General features: G+C 35.7%; 1 annotated feature.

Annotated features, from left to right (window-relative positions):
• Positions 597–747: a silencer, noted in NCBI's record as "fragment chr3:148498709-148498859 (GRCh37/hg19 assembly coordinates)". NCBI's record gives its function as "represses an EF-1alpha promoter that drives an FKBP-Casp9 reporter gene in an ReSE screen in phorbol 12-myristate 13-acetate-treated (for megakaryocytic differentiation) K562 erythroleukemia cells {active_cell/tissue: K562(+PMA)}" and the evidence as "EXISTENCE:reporter gene assay evidence [ECO:0000049][PMID:32094911]".

Below are 14,339 nucleotides of genomic sequence, written 5' to 3'. Positions count from 1 at the left end.
AACAAAAGCCAAAATTGACAAATGGGATCTAATTAAACTAAAGAGCACAGCAAAAGAAACTGTCATCAGAGTGAACAGGCAACCTACAGAATGGGAGAAAATGTTTACAATCTACCCATCTGACACAGGGCTAATATCTAGAATCTACAAAGAACTCAAACAAATTTACAACAAAAATCAAACGACCCCATCAAAAAATGGGCAAATGATGTGAACAGACACTTCTCAAAAGAAGACATTTATGCGGCCAACAGACACATGAGAAAACGCTCATCATCTCTGGCCATCAGAGAAATGCAAATAAAAACCACAATGAGATACCATCTCACACCAGTTAGAATGGTGATCATTAAAAAGTCAGGAAACAACAGGTGCTGGAGAGGATGTGGAGAAATAGGAACACTTTTACACTGTTGGTGGGACTGTAAACTAGTTCAACCATTGTGGAAGACAGTGTGGCGATTCCTCAAGGATCTAGAACTGGAAATATCATTTGACCCAGCCATCCCATCACTAGGTATATACCCAAAGGATTATAAATCATGCTGCTATAAAGACACATGCACACATATGTTTATTGTGGCACTATTCACAATAGCAAAGACTTGGAATCAACCCAAACATCCATCAATAATAGACTGGATTAAGAAAATGTGGCACATATACACCATGGAATACTATGCAGCCATAAAAAATGATGAGTTCATGTCCTTTGTAGGGACATGGATGAAGCTGGAAACCATCATTCTCAGCCAACTATCACAAGGACAGAAAACCAAACACCGCATGTTCTCACTTACAGGTGGGAATTGAACAATGAGAACACTTGGACACAGGAAGGGGAACATCACACACAGGGGCCTGTCATGGGGTTGGGGGAGTGGGGAGCGATAGCATTAGGAGATATACCTAATGTGAATGACGAGTTAATGTGTGCAGCACACCAACAAGACACATGTATACATATGTAACAAACCTGCACAGTTGTGCACATGTACCCTAGAACTTAAAGTATAATAATAATAATAAAAAAGAAACTATGTAAATATCAACATTCTTCATTAAACCTTTCCTAAGTAGCTTTAGTATCCCTTCATGTTTGGTGGCTGAATTAATTACTACTCAGATGGTTGTCATATTGTGATTTTCTAACTGCTTTATTCTGTTTACATTTATCATTTGGCAGTTAACTGTAAGAAAAAGCTTTCCTTTTTCTAGATTTAGATAATAATTTATTTATATCATTATAGACTTACACATTTTTATTCAACAGATTATAATTTGTTGCTATAATTATTTTGATGCTCAAATTGTCCAAAATTTGGCTAGAAGTTTCTTTACAATAGTGTCTTTGACACATTCCCACAATTCTTTGAGTATTTTCTTACTTTCTGTCCCAAAGATGTTCTAGGGTCACCTTATGCTTTTCCTGCCCCAGCCCTGGAAGCAGCCATTTCACCAAGGAACACTGGTTCCTTTTAGTGGTGAGGGGTTATTTAGAAATTAAGATCTGGGTGTTGAATGTAATCATTACTATTGCACCAAGGCATGTATCTATCATCTATCTACATATACATAAATATATACATATATATTTTTATATTTACTTCCAGATTTGTCTATATTGACTACCATGAGTTCCACAGTTCTAATCTATTTTATTTTTTCTCTTTTCATATTTGCCACTGTTTTCTCAAACAGTGGGGAAACTGGCTCTCATTATCCTCAGTATATTTATTTATTGCATTAGTCCCACCTGGATGTACCCCATTTCTCATTGTAGCTATACTTCCTCTTCCCTGACCTTGACCAGACAATCACCTTGCTCAACTCTACCTAATGACTTTTGAACTGAAACATTCGAGTTTTTAAAAATTACATTGATCATATATTTATTTCAAAAATTTCTTTCTCTTTTAACAAAAACACATTTTAATTTAATTTTCTGTTCTTGACACAGTTTCTACTCTTTTCCCATTTCTTTAATCAATTTAAACTCTTATATTTGCAAGTATTTTTTTAGACCGCTCTACCATCTTCAGTTCTTGGGGTTCAAAAGATCCCATTAGTTGCATCCACTCACTGTGCTTCAACGTGGCTCATTTCTATGTAGGGCTTATAATTTTTTTACTGTGGGTAATTTTTCAAGAGGGATTGTTTACCAGAGAAATCCCAGTGTCTTGGGTTGTAGACTGGTCCCTGTGGAGTCACTCCTATAGAATAATTTTGTATTTGCCTCAGCCAAGTATTTGTGAGTTTTACTGATTTGGAAAGCTATTCTGTTAGCTTCTCATGTTGAGATGTCCACACCCAGGGAATATGACCCTTAGAAGGACGAGTGGCACAGGCTTAGCATTCTGCTTTACAGGTGACTTGTTTTCACCTTCTGTACGCGCGTGGCTAGCTTCCTTGCAGCTTTTCCAGGATAGCAAGCAGAGCCTGCAGATTAGAATGCAGACCCTTTTGTGTCTCCTTGTTTTGTGCAGTTTAGTTCTGACTCATAGGCATGACTTCTCCATCTTCCAACTTCTGTTATTCTCAGCCTCCAGCCCTTACAGCATATATTTGACTTTAACACCCCTGGTGAAAGGTTTCATCTTCTACTTCTACTTAAGACTTTTCATTTTCTCTTTGTTCTGGCACCTAGAAACTTCCCTAATGTGTTTTGCACTGGACTATGTATTAAAACAGTTTTCTTTTTAAATTTTGATTTTTTAGTTGTACTTCAGAGCACATTTTAATGTTTTGACCAGAGAAGTATATTGTTTCTAGTAATGAAACACTGCAAGTAATTAAAATGTTTAACAATAGTTGACTGCTGAAATAAATTATAACGTAGTTGTAGGGTGAAATAATATGTAATTATTATAAAAATGTAGTTGAAATATAATAAAGTAGATAGTATATGCTTGTGACATATTAGGTTAGAAAGCATGATACAAAATTATAGAATGTTAATTATGTAAAAAAATGAAAATAGCATGTATATAGAAAAGTGTCTATAAGAATATACTATAATATTAAGAGTAGCTCTCTTTGGGTTATGGGATTATTATTGAGTTAATTTCATTATTGGTAGAGATAAAAGAAAAATAACTTTAACAAACATTTATAAATCATAGCGTTCCCCAAATAATAACAATAACAATCCCAGTGGTGGTTTGTAAGTCTAATATTAGCTAATTATCTGGATATTGGTTGAAATAAAATACTTGAAAGTTGGGTATTAGGGAAAACTAAGCATTTAAAATTGTGATTTGAGAACTAACTCATTCTTTCAGTTTTGATGTTGTTTTAAAACAAACAATGAAGGAAATGCATAGAGTGTTCAAGAACTGTGAAGACTTTACCTCTTGATTGACTGGGCCTTAAAAGTAAAAGCAGTTTCTAGGAGATTAAATTGTAACTTTTTTTTCCCTATATTTGAGATTGAATAAAATTTCCTGAAAATGAAAAAGGTACTTTGATTTCAAGCCATTATGAGCATTCTCAAAAGGATTTTTATCACTTTGAGTATTAATACCAAGCAACCTTCACATAATTATCTGAATTAAGTTTAAATAAAATTCTCTGTAACTTTGACAATCACTTATTTTCCTTTGTGCCCTAAGGACTAAATTTCAAATTTTATACCTCCTGAAAGAAGAAATACTACTAATTATCAGTACCTGGAAAAACATATATATTTGCATTTAAGCAAATTCTTATAGTTAACCAATAAGAAATAATGCCTTTTAAAATCTGGCTGTGTAATTGAAAGCTGAATAACTATGTCTAGTTAATGATAAAATCTTAGACTACACTGAAGAGAGTGCAATTTTGAGTTGTACAGCTTTAAGAAAATCAGACAAAAGAAAACAAAATGAAAACAGAGCATTTAGTTATTTTTCTGTGCATGTATCCCAGAAGCATATTTTATAATAAAATAGTATTTCTGACACTTTACCATCACTAGAGCATTTAATGTATTTATTTCACTATTTAACTCTTAACTCCATTATCTTGTCCAGAAATGCACACAACTATAACTCATATTTTTAATATTATGTTATTTTGAATTGACTACATCTCCATAATAATTTGAAATGGTTTTTCAAGACTTTTCCACTTATCTGTTTGAAATCAATAACGTTCTTTGTCCATCTTTACTAATATTATTTTATAGCCTCTTTTAGTGCTTTCCTATCTTTTTTTTACACATAGAAAATGGCACTATTTTTATACGTGGATAAACAGGCCAGGTTGCTTGCTCCAGTAGCCCCAAGGCTGCGGAGACACTATCTCAGATCACCTGTCTCCTGTTGACACACCTATACAACAGCATGCACATTGGGAAGCTTTGGGTTATTACACCTTGTCTCTATTTCATGAGGATTTTGTCTATGGGGTCTCAAAGTTACCATAGGCCTCAGCCATCTTTGTCCTTATTAATGCTTTAAAAATTCTTGGTTAAGTGAATCAATGCTTACATTTTATAAAATTGTTTAAGTAATCAAACCCTCAAATGCATCTAGCTTTTAAAAATGGTTATCCCCTACGTGACATTTGTCTTCATCAATGTTTATAAATGAATGAGCATGGCTTTTCTGGGATAACTGGATGCTTGTTTGTGAGTTGCTATATTAGTCAGGGTTCTCCAGAGAAGCAGAACCAATGGTATATTTATAGAGGAATTGGCTCACACAATTATGGAGGCTGAGAAGTCCTACTATAGACTGTCTACGATCTTGGAGAAGCGGGTAAGCTGGTAGGATGTCTCAGTCCAAGTCTGAAGGCCTGAGAACCAGGGGAAGTGATGTTGGAATTCTCAGTCTGAGTCCGAAGGCCTGAGAAACTAGGGCACTGCTGGTGCAAGTCCTGAAGTCCAAAGGCCAGAGGACTTGGAGTTCTGATGTCCAAGGACAGGAGAAGATGCGTATCTCAGCTCCAGAAAAGAGAAACAGAGAGAGAGTGAGAGAGAGAGAGAGAGAGAGAGAGAGAGAGAGAGAATCAGAGAGAAAGAGAATCAGAGAGAGGAAATTTGCCTATCTCATACTTTTTTGTTCTATGCTGGCCCTTTGCTGACTGCATGATGTCTGCCCATATTGAGTGAAGGAAGATCTTCCTTACTTAGTCCACTGATTCAAATGCCAATCTCTTTTCAAGACACCCTACAGTCTTACGTAGGAATAATGCTTTACCAGCTTTCTGAGTATCCCTCAATCTAGTCAAGTTGACACCAAAAATTAACCAACATAAGTCCACACTTTATCAACTTCTCAGCCATACACATCTTCTAAAACTATACAATTTCTATCTTAATTTGTTCATGCTGCTATAACAAAATACCTGAGACTGGGTAATTTACAAAAATAGAATTTTACTTATCACAATTTTGGTGGCTGGGAAGTACAAGATCAAGTTGCCAGCAGGTTTGGTGTCTGGTGAGAGCCTGGTCTCTGCTTCCAAGATGGCTTCTTGTTGCTGCATTTTCCTTACATGGTAGAAGGCAGAAGGACAAAAAAGTGTCTAGCTACAGGTCTCTCAAACCCTTTTATAAGGGTACTAATTTCATTCATGAGGACAAAGCTCTCATGACTTAATCACCTCCCAAAAGGCCCCTCTTCTTAATATTGTTTCATTGAGGATTAAGTTTCAACATGAATTTTGGTGGCGATGCAAGCATTCAAACCAGAGCAATTACTCTGAGTGATTAAGGGAAATATACTGACAGCCACATCTTGAGGTCTTGAGGAAATCTACTTAAATGTTTACAAATATGCACATGAATTAAATGCTTTTTTTTTTTTTTTTTTTTTTTTTGAGATGGAGTCTCGCTCTGTGGCCAGGCTGGAGTGCAGTGGTGCAATCTCGGCTCACTGCAACCTCCACTTCCTGGGTTCAAGAGATTCTCCTGCATCAGCCTCTCAAGTAGCTGGGACTATAAGCACGTGCCACCACGCCCAGCTAATTTTTGTATTTTTAGTAGAGATGGAGTTTCACCATGTTGGCCAGGATGGTCTCGATCTCTTGATTTCGTGATCCGCTTGCCTTGGCCTCCTAAAGTGCTGGGATTACAGGCATGATCCACTGTGCCCGGCCTAAATGCTATTTTTATATGATGAAATTTCATTTCTCCTCCCCTTTCCTCGTTTCTTTTCCTTCCTCACTTTTTGTCTAATCTTTTGAGAAATTTATGGTTATAAAGAATTTATCGCTCATTTTGTGAATTTTACTTTACAAAATAGGAATTATTTATTTATTCAATAAGGAGCAAATTGTGTCTAGGAACAACTCCCAGCAGAAAATAATTTCTGCTTTAGAAAGGGATATTACCCCTAAGCTGGAATTTGCGTAAAAAAAAAAAAAAAAAGGCTCTTTAAGGAGAAGCAGGAAGAGACACTTATTGAGCAACTTACTTTGTTCTAGGCACTACCTCAACCTTTCGTATAGATATTAACTATTAGCATCATTACATAATATAAGTTACATTATCTACAAATAACATTTTCCATTTTTGCCCTTGCTGCCAAGATGTAACAAATGGAACAGATCTTCAAGTACAGTCATAACCTCCCATTAGTTTTCTAATGAAATGATCGCCTTCCTTCTTATATGGCTCTTACTTATCTTTTTGTCTTTAAATGTATCAGTTCATTTGTAATTTTATTACGTTTCCTCAAATCTTTTTTCTGATGAAATAAACCTAAATAAATAAAATGAGAGTGGGGATATATGATCTCAAATGTAACTTTGAACCAGGAATAGTCTATTATTTTATAGTGAGAACATTAAAAATTACCAGATATTCAAAATTCTTTTATCTCTTCTTTCAAATTGAGGGTAATTTCTCTAGCTCCTTGTGTCCTAATCAAAATACTTACCAAATTTGCATTTCTGTGAGATAATCCCACTCCAAACTAGAAAATGACTAATTGAAGTTTTTGTCTCTTCATAAGCATTTTGTAAATTCCTAGATCTATGGGGGCATTTTTCTCTGAAGGAAAATATAATAGTTTATAAGAAACAATAATAGATTTGATTTGATAAAGGGAAAAAGTCATAGAGAAGGTCTTTGTTCCTTGGAATGACTTTGTTTCATCTTGAAAATACATATGCAAACTCCAGTTGTGAAATAACATCGTGGAAAACAAATTTTGAAGAGCAAATCAAGAACTTATATAATAGTTAAGTGGACAATAGACTGAGACTCAAGGGAATAATCTGGGGTGTTTGGAAAAAGTATGGACTTTGAAGATAGAAATATATAGGCTCAAATCCTGAAGTGGCAGTTTACTGGCTATATTGCCTCAAATAATTGACTTAAGAATTGATTTCAATTTTATTATATATGAAAAGAAGACAATGGCACTTACTTTGTTGTTGTTTTGAAATATCAGCTACCTACATCAGTGCCTGGCACCTAGTAGGCTCCTTATAAATAGTATCTGTTATGACTAGTATCAACAAAGCCCTGGTTTAAGTTCTGGTCTTGCTGCTGTGTGATCTTGGACTAATCACTTTGCTATCCTGATGGAGTTTGTAATTCTTGGCTACTCTTTGCTGGAAAGAATGTTGTGAGATCAATACATGTTGAGAATCATGGATTTACGTGGTGCATCCATCTCATGTAATGGTTGAGAAGAACAGTGATACGTCTTGCTGTCTGGATTTGAATCAGAGCCCTGACACTCACCAGCCATTTGACCTTGAGCAAGTGGTTTCACTTCTCCAGTCTCAGTCTCCATATTTGTCTTGAGGATAACAATAGCAATTATCCTCTAGGTTTGTTATAAAAAGTATATAATTTAATATATAAATGTGGCTGACACATTGTAAATACTGAGCAAATATTAGATATTAGTAACATTTGAGCCACTTTCAGAGGAATTATTAGAGCTAGAACTGAAATGCAAAGCAGTGTGGTACTAAGAAGGGAACATGAGTTTTGGCATAAGATAGAGTGAAGTAAAAGCTTTTGCTGTTTTCCAGACTTTCAAAGTTTCGGTTTCCTGTCTGTTAAATGGCAATATTATTATTTACCCCTTATGAGGGTTGATTGTGAGGTAAGAAGCCTCTTGACTTTTTATCACAGTGGTGAGAAATTTACTAGGCAGTAATTCCATTTTCTTGGTATTGAAAAAGTGCAGTGGGAATAGTAACTCAATTAAGAACTCATAATGACTGTTAGTAGTCTGTTTGTAATCTAACATATGTCTTTAAGCACTCTAAAACCACCCAAGTGTGAACATTTTATCCCCTATTTTTTCAAGCTAAGGAACCAGGAAGAAAACCCCTTTTGATTTTCCCCTCTGGCTTTCTTTTTTGAAACACAGAGCTATCATCAATATCACTAATATTTGCTAAGGGTCTGATATCTATCAATCACTTTGCCATACATTAATTTACTCTATCCTTCTTATAAGCCTGAGGTTGAATAGGACCCTATTTATAGATGAGTAAACTGAGGCTCAAAGAGGTTAAGTGACTTGATCAAGGTCATATGACTCATGAGCAACTGAGCAAAGACTTAAACAGCTCAATCTACTGCACTCTGATTTCTCCCTGTGAACCAAACATGAACCTCCCATTACACCTACAGAGGTCTGTGTCCATCATTTGAGCATGCCAGAATAGAAAAACAGAGCTCTTGGCATTGATGTTAGCTTGATAGGGAAATTTGCCTGCTAAGCTTGGAATCTGTGACAGGACAAGCAGATGCCTTGCCAGGCAAGAGGGCATTTAGCTAAGACAGCAGATTTGCAGAGGCAGACCCCTGATCCAATAGCACTTTTTACTGTGATCCATTTGACCTGTGGCCATGCCATTCTGCAATAGACCAAACCAATGTCAAAGGTGGTCTCTATGAGAGCTGCATGCCTCCAAAGTAATCGATGGCCGATGGGAGAGTGGAAGTAGAGAATATACATTTCTGGTTTACACAATGAGAAGCCTTGGGTTCCCCTTCAAGAATATTATGTCAGATTCTATCACAGTGCACTTTTACTACTATTTTCACATGTAAAATCTGCATTTTGTGAGTGTGTATTGAGTAATTGAGTGCTTCTTTGTTCAATTTGCATAACAGGGGCATACTGACATTTTCATGTATATCAGATGTGACTGTCATACTCAAGACTGGTGCAATTTCAGAATATGGCTTTATGGTAATACCACAAATGGCATTGTTTTTTCGGCAGTGTGCAGAGTTTTGCAAATACTCCATTAGCAGCAAAGGAAAAAAATGTGACATGGCTTTATTAGTTGAGATGTCTTCTACAGAAATATTAAAATAGAATAAACCCACGGTTCATTTTATGTTTTATGATCTACAGATTCTTGAGTGCAGATTTGTGACATTATTTCTAGATGAGACTAAAGATATAATCACATGTACCAAGACAGGCTCGATGAAGAATACGTTCATTATACAGGTTTGCCTTATGCCCCATCACTGGGCTCTTTGATGTACTCGTTAACTGTATATGTTTATAAATTATGTTATCTTGTGAATAATATAGTTACTTCATTTTTATTCATATAAGGGTCTATATACTAATGTAAAACTTTAAAATATATTAATCTCACAATAACAACAATCCTGTTTTGTCATTTCTTCATTTTTTAGTATATTGGGAGCCAAAATGGAAGTTGCCCGAACCCCTCTTCATCTTTTAGGCTGTGCTTCTACATCGTTTTGTATTGTGTATTAATATTATCTCTCTAAATAAGCTACAAACTTCTAGAAAGTAGGAGCTATCTTTTTTTATTTCTGCTCTTTATTATTTTCTTCATTATTTCCTTCCTTCTTTGGGTTTGCTGCATCCTTCTTTTTCTAGTTTCTTAGATTGTGGTAACTTAGATTATTGATATGATATTTTTCTGTTTCCTTTTTACTAATGTAGGCACTAAAATGTGCTATAAATTTTCATCTCAACACTGCTCTAGTTGAGTCCCATAGATTTTGATATATTGTATTTCTGTTATCATGCAGTTCAATATATATTTTTGCTTTTCCTTGAGCCTTCCTCTTTGACTCATGGATTATTTAGAAGTAGAGGCATCCCTCAGTATCTGGTGGGTGATTTGTTCTAGGGATCCTTGCAGATTCCAAAATCCACTGGTGCTTAACTCCCTTTATAAAATGCTGTAGTTATTTTTATATAACTTATGCACATCCTCCTGGATGCTTTAAATCATCATTTCTAGATTACTAATAATATAGAATACATTACAAATGCTATGTAAATAGCTGTTATGCTGTATTGTTTAGGGAATAATAAGAAAAAGAAGTCTGTACATATTCAGAACAGATGCAACCATCCTTTTTTTTTTTTTGAAGATTTATGATCTATCTGTGGTTGGTTGAATCCATGGATGCAGAACCCATAGATATAGAGAGCTAACTCTGTGTTGTTTAGTTAACAAGTGTTTGGAGATTTTCCTGTTTCTTTCTATTATTGATTTCTAGCATGGCCGCAACAAAGTACCATAGGCTAGTTGACTTAAACCACAGAAATTATTTTTTTTTTCACAGTTTTGGAGGCCACACGTCCAAGATCAAGGTGCTGGCAGATCTTCTCACTATGCCCTCACATGGCCTTTGCTCTGTGAGTGTATATCCCTGGTGTCTCTTACTCTTCTCATCAAGACATAAGCCATTTTGAATTAGGGCTCCACCATATTCACCTCATGTAACCTTATTCACCTCACCATATTCACTTCATTTAACCGTAATTACCTTTTTATAGGCTCCGTCTTCAAAAAATCACACTAAGGGGTTAGGGCTTCAACATATGAATTTTGGCACGGGGGAGGGGGGACATAATTAAGTCCATAATACACAATGTTTATGATTTCAATTCTTTTAAAATTGTTGAGATTTATTTTATGGCCCAGGAATATGCTCTATCTTACTATATGTTCCACAGGCATCTGAAAAGAATATGGATATTCTGTCATTGTTGGGAGGGGTATTCTATGAATATCAAATTCTTTCAGTTGATTACTTTAGTTTGATATTTATAGAATCACCCAACCCAACAAATCACCCACCCAACAAAAACAGAATACATATATTCTTGAGTATTGAGTTCTTCTATATCCTTGCTGCTTTTCTGCCTATTTGTTCTATCAATTGTTGAGAGAGAGGTGTTGTAGTCTGTCATTATTACTGTAGATTTGCCTATTTTTCTCTTTTAGTTCTGTCAGTTTATGCTTCATAAATTTTGCAGCTCTGTTGTTTGGTGCATATACATTCAGAATTACTATATCTTCTTGGTGGATTGACCCTTTTCTCATCATCTAATGTCACTCACTGTGTCTAGCAATTTTTTATGCTGCAAAATCTACATTATTTGATATTAATTTAGCCACTCTTCCTTCTTTAAAAAATTAATGTTTGCATGATATAGTCTTTTTTGTATCCTTTTACTTTCAACATGCCTATATAATTATACTTGAAGTGAGTTTCTTGTAAATAGCTATAGTTAAATCATGTTTCTCAAAATCACCTTGCCATTCTCTGTTTTTTAATTGGTGTATTTAGACTGTTTACATTTGTGGTAGACAGTATAATGGCCCCTCAAAGATCCCTGCCTCCTAATCCCCAGAACCTATGAATATGTTACCTAATACAGCAAACAGAAATTAAGGTAGCATATAGAACTGAAGTTGTTAATTAGGTAATCATCAGATGGGGATACCTAGATTATCTCAGTAGGCATAGTGTAATCACAAGTGTCCTTAAAATGGGAAAGCAAGGGCAGAGGAGGAGGCCAGGGTGATGTGATGTGAGAAGGATTCTATTTGCCTTTGCCTTCCTTTTTAGAGAGCTTCCTGTAGCCATTCTTTTCAAGTAGGTCTGCAGGTAAAAAATTCTCTTTTCCTTCATCAAAGAATGCCTTAATTTCCCCTTCCTTTCTAAAGGATATTTTCACTGGGCATAAGATTATGGGTTGATGGTTTTTTTTTTTTCCAGCAATTTCAAAATATTTTGCCACTTACCTCTGCCCTCTATGATTTCTCTTTTTTTTTTCTTCTTCCACTTTTATTTTAAGTTCAAGGATATATGGGCAGGATGTTGGCTTCCATGGTTTCTGATGAGAAATCTGTCATTCAAATAGTTTTTCCTATAGGTAAGGTGTAGTTTTTCTCTGACTACTTTCAAGATTTCTTTTTTTGTCTTTAGTTTCCAGAAGATCAATAATATATTTTGATATAGATTTCTTTAGTTTTATCCAATTTAAGATTCGTTAACTATCTTGAATCTTTAGGTTTACATCTCTTGCTAAATATGGAAAGTTTGAAGCCATTATTTATTCCACTACTTTTTCAGCTCTATCATCCTCCTCTCTTTCTAAGGATTGGGTAACACAAATGTTAGATTTTTTATTATACTCCCACAGGTAACTAAGACTCTGTTTATTTTTTCTTTTCAGCCTATCTTATCACTGTTTTTATTATTAGGTAGGTTCTGTTTTCCATCTTCCATTTCTCTGTTTCTTTACCCTGTTGCCTCCATTCTGCTGTTGAACACATCTATTGAAATTTTTATTTGGTTATTGTATCTTTTAGTTCTAATATTTTTATTTGGTTCTTCTTTATATCTTCTGTTTCTTTGCTGAAATGCTATTTATTTGCTGAGGCTTTTTATGTTTTTAAGTGTTGTCATAGTCCATTTGGGCTGCTATAACAAAATACTTTACACTGGGTAGCTTTTAAATAACAGAAATTTATTTCTCACAGTTCTGGAGATGGACATTGAAGATCAAGGTACAGACAAATTTGTTATCTGGTGAGAGCCTACTTTAGAGTTCATAGATGATGGCTTCTAGTAGTATCCTCACATGGTGGAGGGGCAGGGGTCTCTCTGGGGCCTCTTTGATAAGGGCACTAATCCCACTCATGAAGACTCTTTGCTTATGAGCTAACCATTTCCCAAAGGTCCCACCTCCTAATTCCATCACCTTGGGGATTAGGATTTCATTGTATGTATTTTAAGGAGAGATAAACATTCAGTTTATTTCAAGTGTGTTCATAATTGCTCAGTAAAACATTTCTATTAAGGTTGCTTTAAAATCATTATCAGATAATTCTAACATCTTTGTTGTCTCAGTGTTGGCATCTATTGATGATTGATTCTTTTTTTATTCAAGTTTACATTTCCTGCTTCTTGGTATGATGAGTGCTTTTTAATTGCAAACTGAACACTTTGAAAGTCATATTATGAATCTCATATTATGAGACTCTGACACTTATTTAAGCCTTCTGTTTTATCTGACTTTTTCTGTGTCAGGGAAAGAGAGAGTGCCGCCCCATTGCTGCCAGATGGAGTTAGAAGCCCATGTTTTCCACTCAGCTTCTTTTGACACCTGGGTGGGAAAGCTCTTCCTTGCTTCTAGACAGGGGTTGGAGTTCTGGCTTGTCATGTAGTCTCCAATGATACCACAGTGGAGGGTGGCCTTGATACTCCATTGGGCTATAGTGAAATTCTTGACTTTCTACAAGGCCTCCCTGATACTGTCCCAGTGCAGAGAAGAGGTGCCTCATTATTTCTGAAAGGGAGAGGAATTCCAGGCTCCCCAGTGGTCCCCACTACACAGTCATAGGACCTTATTCCCAGCCAGTGGAGATGAAGGTTCCAGCTTGATACTTGGCTCTAACTTGACACTGGCAAGGGTGTTTGGGTACTTCATTACAGCTTCATGAGGGTAGAAGCTTCTGCACTTGGCCTTTATTGGTGTGAATGAGGGTAAGGCCACAGGGTTTTCTGTGGTATTTGTTCAGAGTAGAACAGTTATTATCCAAAGTGTTCTGTTTTTCTAGACTGTTCTTTTCCTGGTCCTTTGGCTGGACAGAAGAGGTTTGTATTGGGCTTATTTTTGTCTGTGTCCATTGGTGTTTCTGGGTGGTCATATTATTTGACTCCAAGTCTGGTATATACGAGGCAGAAAGAAAACTCACGAACTCATCACCATGTGTTTCCAAGGGTCCTGAGATCTGTAGCTAGTTTTCCTTCTTCTCTTCATCTTTCAGTTTTCTTGTCTTTATTTGATATATAATGTTCAGGATTTTAGTTGTACTTAGTGAGAGGAATAGGAAAAAGTATCTCTATTCAATCCTTTTAGGGACTTTTTGGTATCTCCTTTGGTATTTTTGGTATCTCCTACTGTGCCAAGTTCTTATGCAAGGTGCCAAGCATATAAGTTTTGCAAGAAAATATATGATCTCTTGTGAGGCTTGTATCTGTATTCATTCATTCCTTCATTCATTCATTCCCTCATCCCTTCAATAGACATTTTTCTAGGTATAGAGGACATCATAATGGCTTCCTAATTCATCTGTCTGTGTCCACCTGT

This window comes from Homo sapiens, chromosome 3 (genome assembly GCF_000001405.40).
Source record: "Homo sapiens chromosome 3, GRCh38.p14 Primary Assembly".
Classification (NCBI taxonomy): Eukaryota; Metazoa; Chordata; class Mammalia; order Primates; family Hominidae; genus Homo; species Homo sapiens.
This window is presented reverse-complemented; position numbering and strand designations above follow the sequence as displayed.